The sequence below is a fragment of the Homo sapiens genome, chromosome 8 (genome assembly GCF_000001405.40).
Source record: "Homo sapiens chromosome 8, GRCh38.p14 Primary Assembly".
Classification (NCBI taxonomy): Eukaryota; Metazoa; Chordata; class Mammalia; order Primates; family Hominidae; genus Homo; species Homo sapiens.
In genome coordinates, this window is record NC_000008.11 from 61,674,139 (window position 1) to 61,696,246 (window position 22,108).

The 22,108-nt window shown below is 35.7% G+C and overlaps 1 protein-coding gene across 94 annotated transcripts in view; it reads right to left on the reverse strand.

Moving 5' to 3' along the window:
* The window catches only part of ASPH (aspartate beta-hydroxylase), a 214,037-nt gene that overhangs the window by 173,583 nt on the left and 18,346 nt on the right, over positions 1 to 22,108 (reverse strand). For 54 of the 94 annotated variants that reach the window (NM_001413901.1, NM_001413909.1, NM_001413895.1 and 51 more), the window contains exons 2-3: positions 9,901 to 10,050; positions 6,830 to 6,898 (exon numbers count right to left, since the gene is read on the reverse strand). In NM_001413901.1, coding sequence (NP_001400830.1) covers positions 6,830 to 6,898; positions 9,901 to 10,050 — 219 coding nt within the window. Of the gene's footprint in view, positions 1 to 1,120; positions 2,182 to 6,829; positions 6,899 to 8,300; positions 8,346 to 9,900; positions 10,051 to 15,534; positions 15,674 to 22,108 lie in introns of those variants that run through there. The other 40 variants (NM_001413874.1, NM_001413865.1, NM_001413872.1 and 37 more) reach the window with 5 other exon arrangements.

The following is a 22,108-nucleotide window of genomic DNA, read 5'->3' on the forward strand; positions in this document are numbered from 1 at the left end:
AGTAACAACACGTTAACAAATAAGATTCCTTTAAAAAGTATATCCCGGAAATTAGGCTGGGTGAATTTCATTGAGTGGGGCTGAAGATTCCTTTAGAATTTAAACCTAATAAACTTTGATATTTCATAGTACCCAAGTATGAAAGCAGAAGACACAATAAATACAAAGATTGAATAAATTTTCAGAAGGAACATTACTGAATGATACTCATTTGTTGCAGAACATGCTACTAAGTGACAGCTTAACTGAAGTCCTTGAATATTTGGAAACAGAAGCTTTAACAGACTATCTTCTGCATTAACAGAATAAAACATATTTGCCCATTAGTGCAGGCAAGACAAACAAGAGCTTTAATAGTCACTTTAATAGTCATTTAAACTTTAAGAGATTATTGTCCAGTGTGTATATCCACATCCAAAAGTAGCTACAGAATGTTTGCTTTTTAATAAGATTAGCAAATTGGACAGTATTTGCTGACACAGGTAAATGGTGGGCAGAGGGAATGGATGTCCCATGCTGACTTGAGGCTGCTACTTTCAGGCTGTTATTATGACAGCCTACAAGAGTAATTCATAACAATTTAAATTTGTCATAGTCCCCTCAGAATAAATGGATGAATGATACACTTATTGAAAGTAATTTGATTAGATATAGAAGACAAGAAATATTTGAAAAGTAGAAATTATAGTTAAATAAAACGTGAGGAAGTGCAAGCATTTTCAAATTTTTAGCTCTCTGACAAACTAACACTAAGCAAAATCCTAGAGAAGCTGGAAGAGATTTAAAACCACGGAACATCACTCCTTCAAAAAGTAACATCCCTTTCCTTATCTTCCTTATCCCTAGAAGAGCTTTGCTTGAGGGGAAACTGATGAAATCTCATTTTAAGAAATGCATTTTGTATATAGCTGCTACACCTGTTTTGGTTACTACTGAAGCAAACTCATTTTTAAAGCAATTGATTCAAATATGTTTTTAAGGCTTTCTAATGGGAAAAGTTTACTGCCCTAAATGGAATTACCACTTCAATAAGTTTATAATTCTAAAAATCACATTACATCTAAGCCAAAATCAATATCCAATTAATAAGTTAATGAAGGAAAAAATGGAAAAAGACTTATTTAGGATGAATAATTTTAATATGTACAACATTAAGATACATATTCACATGTTCCCTCTTGTGTAATATGCCTACTTTAAAAAAAATACAAATTACTTTCTCTGGATGTATATTTGGAAATAAAATTTAAAATAAATTTTGCTTTCACAGACAGAAATATGTCATGCTACTATCTGAAAACAGTAAGTTAACTTACTCTAAGGCAAAAACATGGAGTTATTTTTAAATTATTTTAAAAGCACCATTAACACAGAATTTTACATAGAAATTTGTATGAACCTATCTGACAAACCTAAACAAATTACAATAAAAAATATCAGCTTAGTAAAGAACCATCATTTTATACATCAGTCATGTTAAAGAACAGAGAAGCATTTAACTTAAAAATCATGCCAGAAATATTTTTATAATGAAATCCATTAGAATCATCATAATTAATAGTGTGTTAGAAAGACAAGCATCAAGGGTTAACCACAACACAATTTGCTGTTAAGTGTCCAAATTTAGTTCAGTGAATACATGAGTTGAAACAAAACGATACAGAAACCAATTATACCACCAAGAACATCATTTTCAGTGTACTTTGTAGCTGACTACAAGAATGAGGAGTACCATTTTCTTCAATAGAAGTTGGGGGAGCTGAGCGAGCAAGGGACTAGCTAGTAGCTGTACTGGGCAAGATCACATGGTTGACTTGCACGGTAAGATCACAACCACCCCACTGCACATTAAGCCCTGCATAAGCCAAGGAAAGAAAAGAAAAAGGAGGCTGCTTCAGGTGTTCATTAGCCAATGACTTCAGTCCCTGAATCAAGGTTACTGGTTATGTAAATCCAATATGACACAAGTCTTTCCCTGAACCCCTTCATTCTGTGACGTACCATCAACACCATCTGCGGTTTCGCTTTCTTCTTCTTCTTCTTCTAGCATTTCAAAAGGAGTCATTATATCATAGAGAAATGAGAGGAAACCATAAAACCAATCTGAACTTTCCTCTGCTAAAATATTAAGGACTTCCTCAAGAGAATCAATATTTTCATTACTGCCATCTTTGGTCAGGCCTACATAAGAATAAAGGAAGAGAGAGAGAAAATAAGGAGAGCAGTTAGGTGGAAAAAAGAAGTGGAGGAAGGGTGATCTCAAAAGCGAGGTGCATCAAGGTCAGAGAGGTTTACAGAAACGGTATTTGGAAAATAAAGAAGTCCATTAAAATGCACACCTTACAATCAACTCTCAATCAAATGTCAAAAGAAAGCCACAATTTGACCAAGCCTCACCACTCCTACCAGCCCCTACCCAGGTTTACCTTTCTCTCATTAGAGTGTTGAGTTGAAAGACAAAATTTTATCATCAAAAATCAATGGACAGTAATGGAAAAATCAGTTGACAGTAAAAGGAAGAGTGAGTAAAAGCAGTATCAGGGAAAAAAAGATATATACTCTGACAACCTCCAGATTTGCTCATTTACCAACCAGATTTTATCGAGAGTTGATTATACACACATTCGTTCATTTGTTCATTCAAACTAGAAAGGTTTATTTCCTCAAACTTCTCCCCTCCCCCCACCACCACCCCACTTAAGACCTGGAGCTGACTTAGGAAATTCTGGAGTTAATATAATTAGCAGTATTACCATTTATAGCATCCATAGGTGGGCAAAAATACACTCAAATTATGTAACTCAGATAATTTTAACACTTAAATTTTAACACTATTAAATGTGGTAGCTCTATAAAACTCTGGCAACTGACTCATGGTCCTGTAATTCTGGCCAATGACAAGAGTCAGCTATTAATAATAATTCACTTTGCCTACCGATATGAAATGTGATCAAGGCCTTAGCTGGTCACTTGCAATAGGAACATTCCAAATTCCTCTCCCCATGGGCCTGTGAAATTAGCTTCTATTGCTAAGACCCCTTACAACTAAGTATTGGACCCCAAACAGGCCTTAGGATAGAAATAAATCAAAGTATATATTGTTTTCATCATTTGTTTTTTTCCTGTGAAGAACTGGCTCTGGGTAGCAAAGGTTTCTTAGCTCTAGTAGGTATCAGAATCTACCAAGCTGTATACCAAGCCCTTAATTTTGAGGAGGAATAACAGGGTGGGGTGTTCTGACTGTAAGAAATGTGAACATCCATGACCACTGAGCTTTTCTGGTTGGAACCACGTAATTCAGTCATTTAAGGCTTTGGCAACACACAATGTCTCCATGTAGTATAACTACCAGCAATCAAGATAGGCAGATAAAGGATAAGACGACAACTAATTTAAAAGTTTTAAAGATTATAGTGAATTTTCTCTGCTTTACTCAAAAGAACTATATTATGTCATTGTTCATGTTTTTGGTAGGAAAAACGCAAATTGCAGTTGGTATTTAAATTACTTTTTGACAAGCCTAGAATGTTTTCACTGAATTTAGCAGCAGACAAATGCTGTGAACAAAGATCTATAATCCCAACTAAGTCCCTATGGGAATAACAGTTTCTTCTTCCTGCCTTAAAACACTATAGCTGCATATTTAGTATAAACATCTTTACTTTTCTCCATTTGCCAATATATTATAAGTACTTCCAAGTATTACATATAAAACTTTTCCATCCTTCAGTATGACAGATGACCATATGCAACGAATATGCAAAAGCATTTGAACAAAACTGTTTACCCAGCCAAGCAACCTTCCTGTGGTTCTCAAGACAAAAGTACTAGTCCAGAGAGAAAAATATATACTCTCGGCATGTGATTCCTTCTGAACCTCTAAGAACAGGGCTCAACCAAAGGGAATGCCTTTGGCTTGGCAAGATCTGGTCTTCTCCTCCCATCAGCTCACTCATGCATCTATCAGTCTACAAATGATTTTCCAGGATGTAGCAAGTGCTGACTGGCTTCCCTTTTGCTTTCCACCCATACCTGATACGATGCCAGCTAGGTGCTAGCCATAGGACAAAAGGACAACCACATGATCCTTAGGTGGTGTCACTCTAAGGATTTAGTCCTCGCATCATTTAGTTCTTGGGTCATTTTCCTGTTGATTTTATTTGGAAAATAAGTTTTTAAAGAATGTATTTTCAAACAAGGTAGTTTTCAATAATCTGAACTACAACAAAAGATACCTATATTTTAGTTAATTTGGCCACAAAAATAAGAAGGTATGTAAATGAAGAAAAATGGGCTTAGCACGCTTTCAAAGAATCAGAAGGGCCTTGGCCAGAAATAACCAAATAATAAAATTAATGATGGTTAGGGGTCTTGATTTACTCACATATATTTAATTCTATTTCACAAGAAAAGCCAAACTCTAAAATTGAGTGAAATGTACCATGTAAATGTGTACATTTCCCCAAATTTATAAGATTTAGATATATGCAGATTTAAGAATCTAGAAAAAAAAACTGATGAAATAAATGCAAAATCCTATGAAAGTTTAACATATCTTAATTATTACTATACCTGCGATGACAACAGCTCCTCTTATCTCTGATTTCCTACCCTCCTCCTTCCCCTTGGATCTCCTGGGCCTTAATCTAAAACCTAAACCCTTAAAGTTTAAACTTTACCATTAAGCTCCCTCTCCAGTGAGAACGTACCTTGGAAGTCTGGCTTCATTTTGGGTATATGCTCACTGTAGTGCTCCCCCCATAACCTCTACCTGACCTCAAAGAACCCATTAAAGCCTCTGTACTCCCAACAATTTCACCAGGCTGTCTTTGCAGTAACCTTCCAGTAACAGAGGCACCACTAAACTACAATAATCTCACAAACCAGAAAAGAACTTCAGTCATAAAACTCAATTCAAGTTAAGGTTGCATTTCATGCAGAGAACTCAAATGCTATGAAATAAGATTAGAGGTGATAAGTAAGCCTAACATTTCACCTTTGGTTTGTTTCATCTGTACTGAAGCCACAAGCCAACTGCAAACTAGTACAGGAAGAGTAAAAAAGTATTTATGTAGCTTTATCTGATCTGTCTTTATGCATTTATTAGTAAAGTTACCAAAATAAACCTTGATATTCACCAAATTTAGTTCCACCTCCAAGTGTATAATTCTTATAAATGGCACAATTTATGAGTTCCTCACACTATACCTGCAAACAGCAATATTCAAAGTTACAATTAATTAGCTTCTTAATGGTAGGTTAAAAAACTTAAAGGGGATGACCTTTTGAAATCTCAAATACACTAAAAATCAAGTTAAGGTAATAGTTTGCTATAGAAATCAGTGTGTTTTATCAAAGAAATACCACATTTTAATTTCTAATGGCATTTCCTGACAGACCACATAGCTGGTTTTAAGCAAAAACAAACAAACAAATAAAAATCAATAAAATGCAGTAGATGAGAGTAATATTATTTCTAAAAATGAGGGAACTTGGCCCACATTTTATTTTATCTTTAAAATAAAAAGCTTTGCTATTCAGAATGTGTCATTTAAAGTAATATAATGAAGTAATAAACCATTTATAGGCAAGCAAATTAACATCATTCTGATAAGTTCTACATAATTTTGTTTCTTTTACATGCCTAAGATTATAGTCATCTGAGGATTTAATATATTTAGAGAAACTCAAATATAGATACACAATGACAGGACTACATTGAAAATTTCATTAAAGTTAAGACAAGAAAAGAAATTTCATAATAAGTTTCAATGCACAAACACTAATTCCCAATGGGCAATAATAAAAAAAAAAAAAAAACAAAAAACACCAACACAGGTCAACATTAGGAAGGTTTATTACCTTTAATCACAACTAAAACTCTATTTTCATATTTGGAACTTTATTTCATAAGGAGGTGGAATTAATCTACTAAAAGCAGTTTCACTAGTTACAGATGTGGCATCCTACCATGTTTTCATATCTAATAAATATACACAAAACAATGTTAACTAAGAAGAATTTGTTTGGGTCATTATTTTATAAGCTTAGTGTATAATATCATGCCATATCCATTATTTTTCTAAAGACTCTTATATAAAAAGTTTTAACATATATTATGCTACATACAAAAGCAAAGGAAGTCTCACCAGGCCAGATTATATAAAATTTGCATATTGAAATTAACACCATTCTTTCCAGCAAGACAGCACTTTAAAACAAATAAGGGAATACCACATTGTTATTTATTACAAGAAACATCTCTGATAAAGACAAGTAATTCTGATAATGAAAGAGAAGGGTCCAAGACTTCCAAAATAAAGACACTGGGTCAAAAGACCAGGAGTTCATATTTTAATGCTACCGTTAAAATATGCATGGGACATTTTAAGATGTTTATTATCACTTTTATTTCATCATTAATTTATGTAAGCCTGTAGAAATTTACATTTTGAAATGGAAGTGAATGTGTAATGTTAATGAAAAATGGCTATAATTACCATATCTAAAAACAGACTAGGATATTATCTATTCAAATTCTAAGTTCAGAATAAGAAGTACTTTAAATCTGGAAACACACATGAAATTATTATACTTATCAAAAGATATATGTGTAAGAGATATACACTTATTCATTGATAAAAGTAAATTGACATGAAAGAGTGTGGAAAAATAAGCCATTTAAAATTTTAACAGTAATGAAATATATGATTTAAGGGAGAAAAGTCTCCTGTAAGATATATACTATTGAGATAGATATTATTAAAGCAAAAATAATTGTTTCCAGCATTTTATCACCACTAACAAAAAACATAAAATGTGTACTTGCCTAATAAAACTTTGGCATCATCCACATCAAAATCTCCATCACCATCAGCATCATAGATTCCTAGTTTTCCTATAATAGGGCAGAAATGATGGATATGGGAATAAAAAAGAAAAGAAATTTAATAAGGTATTATAACTTAGTGAAGTCATGCAACTCAGTCATAAATGTTACCAATTAATACAATTCTTTGCTCTTTTAATCCTGCAAAGCAGTGTCAAATGAATATCTTACCTAAAAATAGCGAGCAATTCAGTTAAGAGAGTCAGGAAATGTTCAGCTAATAAATGCTATGAAATAAAACTGACACAGCATTATCTTTAAAGATTGAACAACATCCTGATCTAATTAGTTCAGAATAATTTTTATTATACTGCTAAAAATATTCTTGGTAAAGTTTTTAGCATATATGAAATAATATTGATGCATTCCTAAGTCACTTGAAATTTAATGTTTCTAAAGCATGAAATTTCATCACACTATCAATATCTGAACCAAAAGAAACAACCAAGCCTCAAATAAAGACCAAATGTAAATAGATTAACATAGAATCTAAGTACTAAAAACTAAAAAATCATTAATTTTATATTTTACAATGATGACTTATAACAGAAATATCATGAATTAACCTTTAAAAATAAAAGATCATTCTGGAAATAAAGTATATAAAACTGGAGGCTTCGGAAATTATAAAGGAAAACTTATGATTATTCTACTTAACTTAATCAGCACAGGCAATCTATACTAAGAAAAAAAGGGCTTAAAACAGATATGCTGAGAAGACAATACTACCAAAACCTTTCCTCCTGATGAACAGAAAACGTTTTTAGGCTTTAGTGCTTTATCATAAGGAACACTGTTATTTTGTTTAGCATTTCAAAAAGTCAAATATATTCAACTCCCTAAAAAAGCATCCTAAAATCTACATGATTCTAATTCATTATTGGACAATGACTGTGGAGAAACATAATAATGTTAATGTACAGCAATTTTTTAAACAGCTTTCTCAAATACAGCATTAGTACTAAAAAAAAATTTTGGCAATTGTTATCATTTCTTTAACACAAAGTACATTAAAAAATTACAGAAGAACAGGCAGAAATTTTGGCTCAGATTAGTTCTGATCAATCTTTATCTCCCCAGAGCCCTTGCTCTACCTAGGAAAATGGTTAACTTGCTATATAGAAGTCTGACTTAGCAAACACATACACATTTAAAATGATTATGATGAAAGAAGAGATAAGGATGTTATTTCAACTGCTAAGAAAACAAAAAGTACTAATCAAGGCTATGCAGAGTACAGAATTCAAGAAACAGTAAAAGATAGAAAATACTACCCTTTCTGACAAACCCATAATGGGAAATTGGTCCTATCACTTATATTCTGATGTAGATAATAATTAAATTAGTAGAAAAAGGATGAGCCATTAGAGAGTAACACACGTAGACTTGAAATGCAACTCCAATAGCCTACCTTGAAGCACCTCTGATAAGTTATAACGGAAGTCCTTTGCTTTGGCTGCATGCATGTAAAAACATGAAAACTGTTATTTGTGCTTAAAGGTACAAATACTTAAAGTGTCCTCTTTTAAGATACATTCCCTAACAACATATCACTGTAAGTCAGTCAAAGCATAGATCTACTCAGAAATTTGTCTCCAGACTAAAATTCTCCCTCAGTTGGTCTGTCAATCTATCCAGAGACACTTTCTTTAAAGTAATGAAAATGAAAAACTTCAATGAAAGACAGATTACAAATAAGCATATTTTGTTATTCCTACAGCCAAAAATTTGTTTGCCCTTTCTCCCCAAAAATATGTCTATAATTTGACAAGTAAAGCAGAAGCACAGGAAGTCCAATGCAAGGGGATATCACCCATGCAACATTGTACATAGACACAAGTGTGCATTTTTTCCAGTGACAGGTCCACATCTTTCACTGGATTACTAAAGAGGAGGACCATTATTCACAACAGCCAAAAAGTGGAAACAACCCAAATGTCCATCACTGATAAACAGATAACCAAAATGTGGTGTGCCCATATGATGGAATATTATGCAGCCATAAAATGAAGTACTGAACTTTAAAAACATTATGCTAAGTGCAAAAAGGCAGATACAAAAGATCATATAATGTATGGTTCCATTACATGAAATGCCCAGAATAAACAAAAGCACAGACACAGAAAGTAGATTAGTGTTTCCCAGGAGAGGGAAAGAGGAAGAGTTTGGGTATTTAGGGGAAGGGGGTAACAAAAATAATCTGGAACTAGATAATGCTGATGGGTATATAAAATGATGAATATAGTAAAAAAAAACTGAATTGTACACATTCAAATATATATAATATTGAATTTTATTTCAGTTTAAAAAAAGATTTTTGGGGAAGTGAAGGAGAATGTGACTCCAAAAATAACAAAGAATCATTAATGTAAAAAATCATGAAAAACTTCAGTGATTACAGAAAAGGAAAAAGGTGGAGAAAGGACACTATCAGAAGGACCACAGCAACTTCCTCAGAACAGCACACAGATCACACCTACACACACACAATAATATCTACAAACGCCTATCTCAGCACACCCATCCAGTACCTATATGTGTGCACACGTACTCATCCCATCCCAACAGAGACACAGAAGGGTGTACTTTGAAAACCCTCTCTAAGGAAGAGTTTTGCATATTGTGTGGTTATGATCCATTAGCAAGTCCTTAAATAAATGTAATGGCTCATGATCAAGTATTTTTAAAATTTATAATATAACAAAATTGAATAGAAATCAAAAAGTACTGCATATAGTGAGAATGAGTACTGTTTGATAAAACTTCTCCCTGTGTGACAGACATACAATATAAAGCCTTTTTTCAAAAACCTACAGGTCACATTTAAAGAGTTCAAAAGACAATACTCCAAGGTAACCTTCTTCATATCCCCTTTCAGCCTCACTCTATTGAGAACCACTGAAAGGCTATAGAAATTACCAGTACCAGAAAGATGATAACAAATATTCAAGACTCCTAAGAGATGTCACTTACTCTCTTACAAATTCACATAAGGATATCAAAATTCTTACCTAGAACTTCCTCATAGTCAACAAGATCAAACCAAACGACAGCTACAGATGTCCAGACGCCCAGCAATGCAATCACCATAAACCACGTGAAGAATGAAGTTCCTGAGAGTCCGCCTTTCCTCCCATTCTTGTGTCCTCCATGCTTTGTCTCTGTTTAGAAATAAATGTAAGATATCATAAGAAGAAAACATTTTACTGAACACTTATTCTCACAATTATTTCTCCAATAATTTGGGATTATGTACAATGATAGATCATTTCAAAAACAGTTTCCAGTTAAATTCTCAAAACACGTCACACAAAATATTTCTGAAAACAGAAAAGATTGTTTAGATGCAACACTAACTTTGAAGTAGTGCAGGAAATAAACTCCTGAATTTTTTTAAAGATTTAGTATAATATGTATATTCCATCCAAGTTACTCATCAAAATGACCTGAATATTACCTCTTTCCAAAGGCAGAGCACATAAACAACTTAATGAAATCACATAAAAATGTAGCCAAATCCTTTTCTCCGTCCCATTTCATTTCTGCAGAATCTTAAAAACTCTGTTAACACACAGAAGAAAATATCTCCCCCTAAACCATTCCATATTCTTAGCCAGAGAGAAAAGGACAGAAAAGTGAAACAGCACAATCCATTCCTACTCCTTTACAAGATCCGTTGAGGCCTAAGGAAACAGGAAAAGGCTCATTCACAATTGGTCTCACTGCAGGAAACAGCTTTGTAAACTGCTGTCCACCTAAAGTGTCATTTATCGCATTTGATATGCTTAATATACCTTATATTCTTTTGTAAATATTCTTCTTACAGCCAAAAATAAACAAAAATGATTTGATATTAACAGAAAATAGTCAACACTGCCCTTAAAAAGATATACAATATTCAAATTTCCCATAAAAAGGAATATAATACATATATCAATATTAATAAATAAAAAGAATAAATAATATCCCAAAATGCCTTCTGAGAAGAGGAAAAGTTTATCAAACAGATGATGGAAGGCCAGGGCGGTGTCTCCCATTTGTGTGGCAGGTAGAGTCGCCATCAAAGTGCTTTCATGTGCTTTGCTGCCGGTGATCCTCACGGTGTCCTGCCACTATTTCTACAGAGGGCATTTCTGGATGTTTATGCAGGACAATGTTTCATCCTGTGCACCTGTTCCTCACATTGCAAGATTTCTGGCATCCCTGGTTTCCCCTGGACTCAAAGGCAAGGAGCTGTCAAGGCTTATGACAAAAAAAACATCCCCAGACATTTCCACATGTTCCCTTCAGGGGCAGTTCCTGGGTGAGAACCAACAGGAAGAAGGACAGGAATAATTATCTGTTTTATAAGTGAAACATGAAATGATTCTCCCAAAGTCACCAGTACAAGTTGGGTAGAACTAAGAACATACTCTCATCTCTACAGCTCTGAGTTCCTTAATCTCTAATCAGTGGGCCAAATTACACGATTTCAAAAAACCCCACTAGCTCTAATCTAGAACTTGCCCTTTGACTTCTAAGTCCAGTTCTAATTACAGAATACTATTAGTAATTTCCAGCGGCTCAAGTCAAGAATATATTGCCAATATATTCTTCTGGAAGAAAAAATGAAATTCTTTGTGTTAAAAGGATATATGCATTTTTTAAAAATACACCACTAGATCAGTTTTTCAAAAGGGGCCATAAAAACTAAATCCATCTGAGTATATATATGTACACTCAAACATATACATATATTTATCTACATGCCTACATGTAGATAAATTTTTTTTTTTTTTTGAGACATGGTCTCCCTCTGTCACCCAGGCTGTAGTGCACTAGCATGATCTCGGCTCGGTTCAAGGGATTCTCCTGCTTCAGCCTCCTGAGTAACTGGGATTACAGGCACCTGCCACCACGCCTGGCTAATTTTTGTATTTTTAGTAGAGACAGGGTTTCACCATATTGGCCAGGCTGGTCTTGAACTCCTGACCTCAAGTGATCTGCCCACCTCAGCCTCTCAAAGTGCTGGGTAATTCTTAAAACGTCAAGTAATTCCTTTTTCTGACATTCTTTAAATATTAATGGATCCCTCAGAACCAGAGTTGTAAATAATATGGTAAATTCATAAAGTATGCTTACCAAATGACAAATGGCCATCAACTTTGTTTCTAATGTGATCTATATAAAAGCTGGCTATATAAAAACGTAATTTATGTATTAAATAAAAATACTTGCTGGGCATAGATCCTATTGTTGCAGATTAAATCAACTTCAAATAGGTATCATTACCTGAAACACAGCCATAGCAGGAGAAGATTGGGTGAGAATGTCTGCAATGTTGGTAGAGGGAAATGGTGGTTTCCAAAATTTTTATGTGTTGTAAGCATATAAAAAGAAAAATACAAATTAAACCACTACTAAAATTTGAAGAAAAAAAGATTTACGAAAGTGAGTAAGCTTCTGTGAGGTCAGGAAGCACCACAGATTCAGAAACAGTTTTGTATGTCTAATTCACTACATTTTTATAAACAGAAAGACTTATTTTCTAACACTGTATCCAAAAAAGAACGCTTATTTCTATATAACATACAGACATATGCGTACAAATCCATTTGCGTACAACACTAAGTTTAACAAAAATACTACCTTCCAAAATATCCACATACTCTAAATATGGAATTATAGTAGCTAATGACTAAGAATTTCCTGCCTTTGCTACTTATTGCCTCTAAGAATCAAATTGAATTTTTTTTTGGCAAAAGGAATGCTAAAACTTCAGTAAAACTGGGTTCTTGTCTTATGTCCTCTTGAACATTCTGTAGCTGATACCAGTCTCTTGTATTTTTCCTCATTAACTGGAAAACAGCAAGGCTAAACAAATATAGTTCATCTTTTCATTCATCCAACATTTTTATTCAGTACATGAATATCAGATAATTTTACCCAATAATTAAGTTTTTATAATGAGTATGTGGCCAAACAGATACCCAAGATGATATTATTTAAAATAAGCCTATACTGCAGTGAGCTATGATTGCACCATTATACTCCAGCCTGGGCAACAAAGCAAGACCCTTTCTTAAAAAAAAAATTAAAAAGTCTATAATGAAATAGCTAATAAAACAAAGTAATAGTTTGAATTCAAATTTTAATCATTTCTCCATTTCTATCTCTCTTAAAGGGAAATGGAGGAGAAAAATTTCTGAGATTCTGAAAAGGAAATTATCATTTATCCAAGTTAACTCAGTGATACTCATTTAAGTTATTGACTGTAACACTAAATATAAGGGAAAAGTAGACAAAATATTTTTTCTAAAAAATGAATGCATGCACCAAAACAGCAAGGGATTCAGATGGGAAGGAGACAGCCAAACACAGTAAAAAATACACCTTTACCTAGAATTTGTTTACATTTTTATTTTAGATGTGATTCTAACAACTTCAATTAAGTTTTCTAGCTCTATGCACAAAACTCTACATTTCAGACACAATCTAACCCAATGAGTCAAAGCAACAGAGTGGTGACAGAGGAAAAGCCTATCGAGTGCACAGATCTCTCAGCAAGAGCAGGCCCAGGAAGTCAGAAAAGCTGAGTGGTGGGAAGTCATTTATGATGAAACTTTCAGGCAGAATCCCTGACAGTCCTTCAAATAATCTTCAGTACAAGACAGTAACTGGTTTCACATTGATTCTGCCATTAAAACATAGAAGAAATGTATAATAAATCTTAGGAAGATTTTCATTCAAAGTAGTTTGTAGTAAAGAGATTTATCACTTTAAAAGCTAAATGTTTCTTAACTAGAATATATTATCAGCAATATTTTATATATCCCTTTTTAATATCAAATAAATGAGCTGTTACTCTAGTATTATTAACCTTATTACTGTTGATATTTACTAGTTCCACAAAGGAACAAAATACTAAGTTATGGAAGGGATTCTTTTTTAAGACACCTTTTTTAGGGGCAGTTTTTATCGACAGCAAACAATATACTCTTGATATGTCATTTGGTAAATATGCTGTGCCTAGTCCCAAAGGGCAGATCAGTTTCTGTCCAATGAAACTGATGAACGCATGGTAAGACAAACCCTTAAGAGGGTTTACAACTCCCTAAGCAAATCTGAAACCAGTATCTTGTTCCAAAGGTATTTGGGAAGAACATCTAGTAGATGTCCCTATTTTCTAAGATCAGAATAAATCTAAGTCTTCATTTCATTTTCTGGCTTCATGTTCAACCTGTAGTTCTGGGATCAGTCAAAGCGGATTTTTACTGGGGTTTAAGAATACTGCAAGAACGATGCGATTCATTTTTTCCCATGTTATTCCATCAAAAGTACATGACCTCCAAATCAGAAAATGTTCCCACATACCACCAAACACAGAAATTACTATGGCAAGCAACAGTCCAAAATGAAGACTCTCCAAAACAAAAGCCGGGGGAAGGGCAATGTGTAGTTTTATTTATTTGGTTGAGGAAAGGGAGACAAGAAGATGAACCCCAGCACTTGAACAGTCACCAGCTACTTCACTGGCCTACTACTAACTGAATTATAGATCATTTATAAGTTTTAGTTAGCATTATGTTGGGAATTTCATATTTACACATAAACTCTACACATTTAAAGTTTTTTGAAAAACACAAAAACTGTCAAGCAACTCATCAAACTGATTATTTTTCCATGCTATAAAATGTCACCCTTTGGGAATCAAAAACTGTTAAAAGTGCATCAGATGCAACAGCTGATTTTTCCTAACTACATGGATTACCTAATCCACAAGAGGAGAGAAATGTCTTCCAAAAGAACTAAAAGTCAGATACATATCTCATATTCTTCTTCATGGCTACATGAAGCACTTTATCAGACGAGTCAAGTGACCCATTCTCACCAATTATTCAAATAATATTCACATAGTACATGCTTATATTCTCTATCCTAATCAAAGAATCCTTTCAGTTGCTGATTAGACAGCTGAGAGTTAGAAGCAGTTTTCATACATCTATTCTTTTCTTTTATAAATCTTCAACATAATGAGTGAATGCAGTCTTTCAATTAATGGAAAGACTATCTTAATTTACAAAGTAAAGCAAAAGCAAATATATACAAAACATTAAATTCAATACATAGTTAAAGAATACTTCAAAGTTAAAGAGTCAATTTAAAATCAAAATAAAACCCTTGTGTTTTTTCTTTGCATTTATTGTCTGCTTCACATAAAAGTAGGTCACTTTCCATAAATGGTAAGTCCTTGCTTGAACCAGGTAAGTCTGTTCATTAATATGAGACTGAATTTATATCTCCTATAATTTTATATAAAATCTAAATATAGATAATTCTTTAAATTCATTGTAATTAACTTATAAGAATAAGAAGAGAGCTTGTACATTTTTTGAAATTTGTAAAATGCAGCCTCCAGTAGTACAACATACTAAAAGGTCATCTAAATTAAGACACTAAAACATATTCGGATTAAAGACAGATTATTCAATGAAATATTCAGCTACTATGAAAAGTCAGTATCTCCAGGAGTTCAAAATAGAAAATGTAGACAGTACAGTCAAAGCACTTAGCCAAAAATATTTTAACAGAGCACCACTGAAAATAAAGTGAAAAGCTGTCAGCTAGATCTAAAGCCACTTTTAGCCTAAATAACAAAAATATACCTTTATCTTCAGCCATTTTGATTTCTTCAATCCATGAATAATAAATGCTAAAGTAAAACAAAACAAAAAAAAAAACTCAAAAGTACTGCTGGCAGGTTTTAGGCACACTGCATGCACTTGCCTACCAGAGCTTGAGACTGGCCAATCCCTGCACTGTAAGGGCCTCTAGAACTGAAATTGGACCTGACTACAAACTCTGCTCACCAGTTATTTTTAGAGGCTAAATGCTGCTAATCACCACTTAGGCTGAAGTGCACTCCCTAACAACACCACAGCCTTTCTCCCACTTACGGGATTCTTTTCCCAGTTGGTCCTAGCTAACTCCAACCCCTAAAAAATCAAGCATGCTGAAAAAAAATGAAATGGAACAAACTGTGCTGCCAGTTTTGTTTTCTTGGAAGCAGGCTTTAACGGCTTTAGCTTAAGCACCAATTCATTGAAAACTCAAACAAGTCTTGCTATAAAATATGGCCCCAAGCCCAGAAACAGTTTGATTTGGCCCTTCAGAATCTAATAAAATGGCTACAAGGAAAGACCATTAGATTGCTTGAATGAAACAAAACCATACATAGTAAGAAATTAATCAATGCTCTAGAATTCTTACTCACAGACACCATCCCAGGAATAATTCCTCCAACAGCAAAAATAAAGCACCAACATAAAATGTTTCACTAGAAAAGGAGGGACAGAGGACTGGTGGGAAGGAAAGAAATAGAAGGAAGGCTGGGAGGTGAGGAGAGGGAAAGAAAAATCTTCAGGAGTAAGAATAATGACCTGGGAAAGATCATCTTGAAAGGGAACTAGGAAAAGATTACACAACCACATTCTGATTTTTTTTTTCAACTTCTCCCCAACCTCATCTCCAAACATTCTCTTCTGGGAAATAAAATCAGCCATTTATTCACTGATCTAACATTAGCAGTTCACAGAATTCATTAGAGTTCTGATTAGTATACTAAATTAATTTAGCACAAATAGTATCTAGAGCAGGCAGCAACCTTTCTAAGTTGTTTATAAGACTAAATTTTTCACTCAAATTTAAAGCTTCACAAGCAAATTAAAAATTTAAAAGCTTTGAATACTACTAGTAATTTCCAGTGGCTTACGGCAAGAATATATTGCCAATATTTCTTCTGGAAGAAAAAATGAAATTCTTGTTAAAAGGATATGCACATTTTTAAAAAATACACCACTAGATCAATTTTTCAAAAAGGGCCATAAAAATTAAATCCGTCTGAGAGTGTGTGTGTGTGTGTACACTGAAACACATATATTCAAAGCTAAATGTTAACTACAATATTAAATTATTAGCAATATTTTATCTATCCTTTTATAATATCAAATAAATGAGGTGTTACTCTAGTATTATTAACCTTACTACTATTGATATTTACTAGTTCCAAAAAGGAACAAAACACTAAATTATAGAAGGGATTCTTTCCTCAGATGCCTGTTTTAGGGGCAGTTTTTATCAAAAGCAAACAATATACTCTTGATATGTCACTTTGTAAATATGGTGTGCCTAGTCTCAAAGGGAAGATCAGTTTCTGTCCAGTGAAACTATTGAATGCATGGTAAGATAAAGCCTTAAGAGGTTGGTACCATAGTCTGCAACCTATGGTACCAACATTTGATGGTCCAGGTTTAGGACAGAGTGAAGTAGGTAGACATCATGGCCAACTAAACAAAATGGTCTCAGGTGCCCTCTGGCCAAGCGTCCTTTCCCCCATTATTTTCTTCAAAGATCTGTCCCACTAAACTTAGTGCTTGCTAAATTGTTAAATGATAATGAATCACTTGTTGACAGGGGTTAAGGTGACCCACCATTTCGTCACCATACAAATTTATTAAGACAAATATTCTGGAAGCTTCCTTTCATTGTGTTGTTTTTGGAGGGAGAATGACAGCAACACGATACCCCCATGGGTGAGACCACTAGAAACCAAACCCCTACACTGATCCAGCAGGCAGCTTGGTATGCTTTCATACTTAGACACCTGGATTTGCTTCACGGCTTCTCCATTAAATTTGATTTGGGGGAAGTCATCAAACTTCTAGGCCTGAATTTCCTTGCTTATAAAATGGGTCTCCGCACAAACTAGGCATGCAAATATTTGTTGGAGTCATCAGTGAAACAAACTTCTATTGATTCAATCGTGACTAGTGCATAAATAACCTTACCCCCAATTTAGAGCTCGTTTCATAATCCCATCTGCCCCTGCAACTGCTGGAGCTGGTAGGGTTTCTTCTCCTCTCTTTACTGGCCTGTGCAAGGTCAGCTCCACTCCAAATTACAGAATGTCTACAGCTAAACGTCAAACTGTAGGAATCACAGCTATTAAAATGTGATTATACCTTACCCCAAGACTTCTTCAACACAGCTCCAATTATTTCTCCTTGACAAATCTTTATCAAGCACTTTCACAAGTCCTCTAGTTAATCTTTTGTCTTTTGCAATAATTGAATAGTTATTTTGATAAAAATGTCTTTCCTCCTCAGTTCACAATGACAATGACATACCTGATATTTTAGATATGGAGATCAGGAGAAAACCCTCTGAAATATCATTTAATCTATCATAACACTTTTTAAAGAACAATAAATTCTGAATTCTGAACAACTGCCTCTTATAATGACAATTCATTTTTATGATGGAGAATGTTTATGAAAAGTTTAAAAATAAACTTAATTTGCATATAGTAAATCATGTTTTTAAAACTTTAGCAAACGCAACTAAAATGACACTAAGTTAACTATTCCTTGTAACAGCTACTGGTACTAATAGCAACTCCAAGTCTAAGCAAAGACCAAACTTCCAACGTGTGTTCTGAGACCATTAGTATCAGCCTAATGCCACTCGCAACCAGGGGAGCCAGGACATATGCCCACTGAGTCGAGGGTTCTACCTCCCTCCAAAAACCTTCCAGGTGAAAATCCATCAGCCTTCTCATGAGTCAGCACTGAATACTTCCTTCCCCTCACCCCGGATCAGCTATCATTACAGCAATGGTTCTCAAACTCTGAGCACGTCAGAGTCAAACAGGGCTTGTTAAGACATGATGCCGACCTTAACCCCAGAGTTTCTGATTTTGTAGGTCTGGAGTGGGACCCTGGAATTGGCATTGCTAAGTCCCAGATGATCTGATGTTGCTGGTCTAGGGACCACATACAAAGAATACTATACCAGCGGTCCCTAATTCTCAGGGTCTCAAGGAAGGGAAGTAGTTCTTGCTTTTACCAATTTCCAGACCATCATTTCCTTACCCACCAGAAGGAAAAAAAAAAAAGAAAAAAAGAAAACGATGACATCAACAACAAAACCCTGCTCCCTGCTCCTCTGTGGTCTATGACATCTAATTATCCAACCCTCCACTGTGCCTCATTGCTGTCATCCACCACCTCCAGTGACTTTCCCACTCCCACCCCATGCTCAGGGAAGTCTTCTACACCCCAAGTCCAGCCGTAACCATGTGATTTCAATGTCTATCCCTGTGGCCAGCTAGACAGGTGCTTTTTGCTTCATTTCTTCATCCCCAGAGACCTTGTTCGCCTCCATTTTATATCCAACACTCATTCTTACATTCTTACCATGGACCTCATCATAAACGCAACCTAATTCATGTTCCTCTTCACACCTTGTTTCTTGTTGGATGACACAAGCGGCCATCCTAACAGATTCCGTAACCCTGCTAAGAAGGCTCTGCTTTTTTGGCTCCATCATAATGACTGTAAAGTGTCACAAGATAGTGAAAATATGATTCTTTAAAACAAAAACAAATTTTTTTTCATCTACACATCGTACCCAAAGTTAACAGGAGAGAATTATAACATTTTCAAACTAACACTAAACAACCAGTATTACCAAATAACAAAATGCAACTCTGCAGACACAAGTCAAACCTGCTTAGACAGACTCCCACGGCCACCACCACTGGGGAAGGCCACCTCCACATGCAAGGGTTTAGGTTCTCTCACCACACGACGCACAGAATGGGAACATTCACTCTTTGATCACAACTTCCTACATCTCCACTTTGTTTCCTCAACATTTTCTTCTTGGATCCTGTAGTTCTCTTATTTCTGCTTCCTGCATATCCCCTCTTCACCTCCTGCCTTCATATCCATCAGTGGCCATCTTAGACTCCACAGTTGACCATTTACATCACTCCAGCGACTCATGAGCCTTTGTTGCTCCTCTATCAGTTCACTGCGTGGACTGCCGTGACTGCCTCCCTGGGTGAACACAAGTATCCCCCGCCACAGAGGCAAGGGCAGCTGGGCTCACGGAATCAAGATCAGGAACTGAACACAGCAGAGCCAGCCTCAGCTGGGCCTCGGTGCTGCCTGCCACCCTCCCATATTCTCTACAAACTCACCTTGCCATTCTTTATGATGACTATGTCAAACTTCTCTGCCCCCAATGTATCCTACCTCCTCATACTCAAACTGCCATAGCCTCATACTTCACAGAGAAAACAGAACCCTCAGCAGGAAGCTATCCTGAGTGCCCAATGCCCAGCACACAAACCTGCCCTAGCCTGCATCCATTCCGAGTTTCTCCTCAGCTACCTCGCACTCTGCACTGTCTCTTCTCGCCCCTTCTCCCCCAGCCTCACTGCCTTTGCCAGGTTTCCCTCCATCCCGCTGCTAGCCCCCATGTCATCTTGCTCTTCCCATCACAGATGAAATTCTCCACAGAGCCGCTGTTTCTCTGTTTTCATTTTCTAACCTCCCACTCACTCCTTACAACCTGTAGGCTTCCATCTGGTTTCTGCACACGGCTCCAGCATAGTGGCTCTAATGTCACATCAATGATTTCCATGTCATTAAACCCAACGCAAAACTTTCAGTCCTCATCTGACTTGACCCTCTCAGCAGAACTCTCCCTCCTTCTTCCACACTCTCTTCCCTCGACTCTCATGACTTCAGAATCTTGTGGCACTCCTAACACCTCTTTAAACTTCGTAGTTTTCAGTCTCCTTTGCTAGCTCACTCTCATCTAGTTGATTTTTAAGTGTGAAAATTCTGTAATACTTGTTCCTATGCCACCTCTCTAGTTCACTTCAGCTATCATCTACATGACTTACCTTTTTCTCTCCTTTGAGCTCCACAACCATGTGTCTACTCAATATCCCATTTGAATGACTTACAAAAACCTCAAATTCCGCATATACACAATAAACCATGGTCTTTCCCCTTTCCTGTTCAGTGTCCTAAATCTCAGAAGCACTTCTGTGAAGCCAGTTGCTTAGACAAAAACACCAGGATTCATCCTTGACTTTTGTCCCAAAAACTCACCTCTCAAAATTGAGTTTATCATCTGGCTGTTGCAAACGGGTGATTACAACGAGGCCAAGATATGGATTCTCCTCAGCACCTGGGTCACCCTTGTCCATTTACCACAGCATAGTTTTTAAAAGCATTTGCGTGTGCCATGACATTAAAAAGTGAGAAACTCTGTCTCAAGTTCCAACGTTCTTTCAACTGTGATCATCAAAATCCAAGTTATCATCATCTCCTAGGTGATTTCAATAACTTAGCATACACTTTTCTACTCCATACAGCAGACAAAATATTTTTTAAATCTGATTATAGCACTGACCTGTTAAAAATCCTTTAATGTCTTAATACTGCTTTCGAGATAAAATACAACATCTTCCATGTGGCCTACAAGGAAGGCTCCATGTGATGGGGCCCCAGCCCGTGGCTCCAGTCTTAGTGTTGTGTCACCCCCCTAGCTGCCTAGACACCTGCCCAAAATACCTGACCATGGTCTTTCCTGTCTCGGGCTCTCAGCCCAGACTTTTCCCTTTTCCCATGTCAAAGCTGCACCATCACATACAACCCCCACACCCCAGCTATTGCCAGCTCACTCTGCTTACAAACCACCTCCTCAAGGAAGCCTTCCTCACTTCCCTTACTCTCACAGCAGTGTGCACCTCTTTACCACGTTATTACACTGCTACTTAGACAACTATACAACAACTGATTTCTTAATCTCTTTCCACCTCCAGAATGTAAGTTTCATGCAACAAGGAACTGAATCTGCCACGTTCATTACTGTACACTTCCCTTGGATCTATCTACTAGGAACTCAATAAAATAATCACTTGTGAAATAAGTGGATACATTCCTTCCCAAATCCTTGATATGGTATGAGTAATCAAACTTCTTCTGCTAACACTTTAGAAATAAGGGAGCAACTTATTGCTTAGTTGTTTGGGCTGTCAAGTCACTTCAGGTTTCCCCATCTCCATGAATTTAATGATCCTAAAATTAATTCACTAGAGGAAAAGACCTACAAATAGCTAAGAGAGAGAAATTCAGAAAGCAGCCCAGTGGTTTCTAGACTCTGATTTCAGACTCAGATTCGTCCCTTCACCAAGTTTTCACAGTTCTATCTCAGGTGAATTCCTCCCTGATTGATCTTGGATGACTGTCACATGGGCTGTACATGAGTGGGGCCAGGTAGGACAGGCTCTGTAGCCTCCTCCACCTGTCCTGGCAAACACCAGATGCTGCTCTCTTGACTGTCCCTGTGTAGAAAGGCACCATGGCTGGAAGAATGACAAGG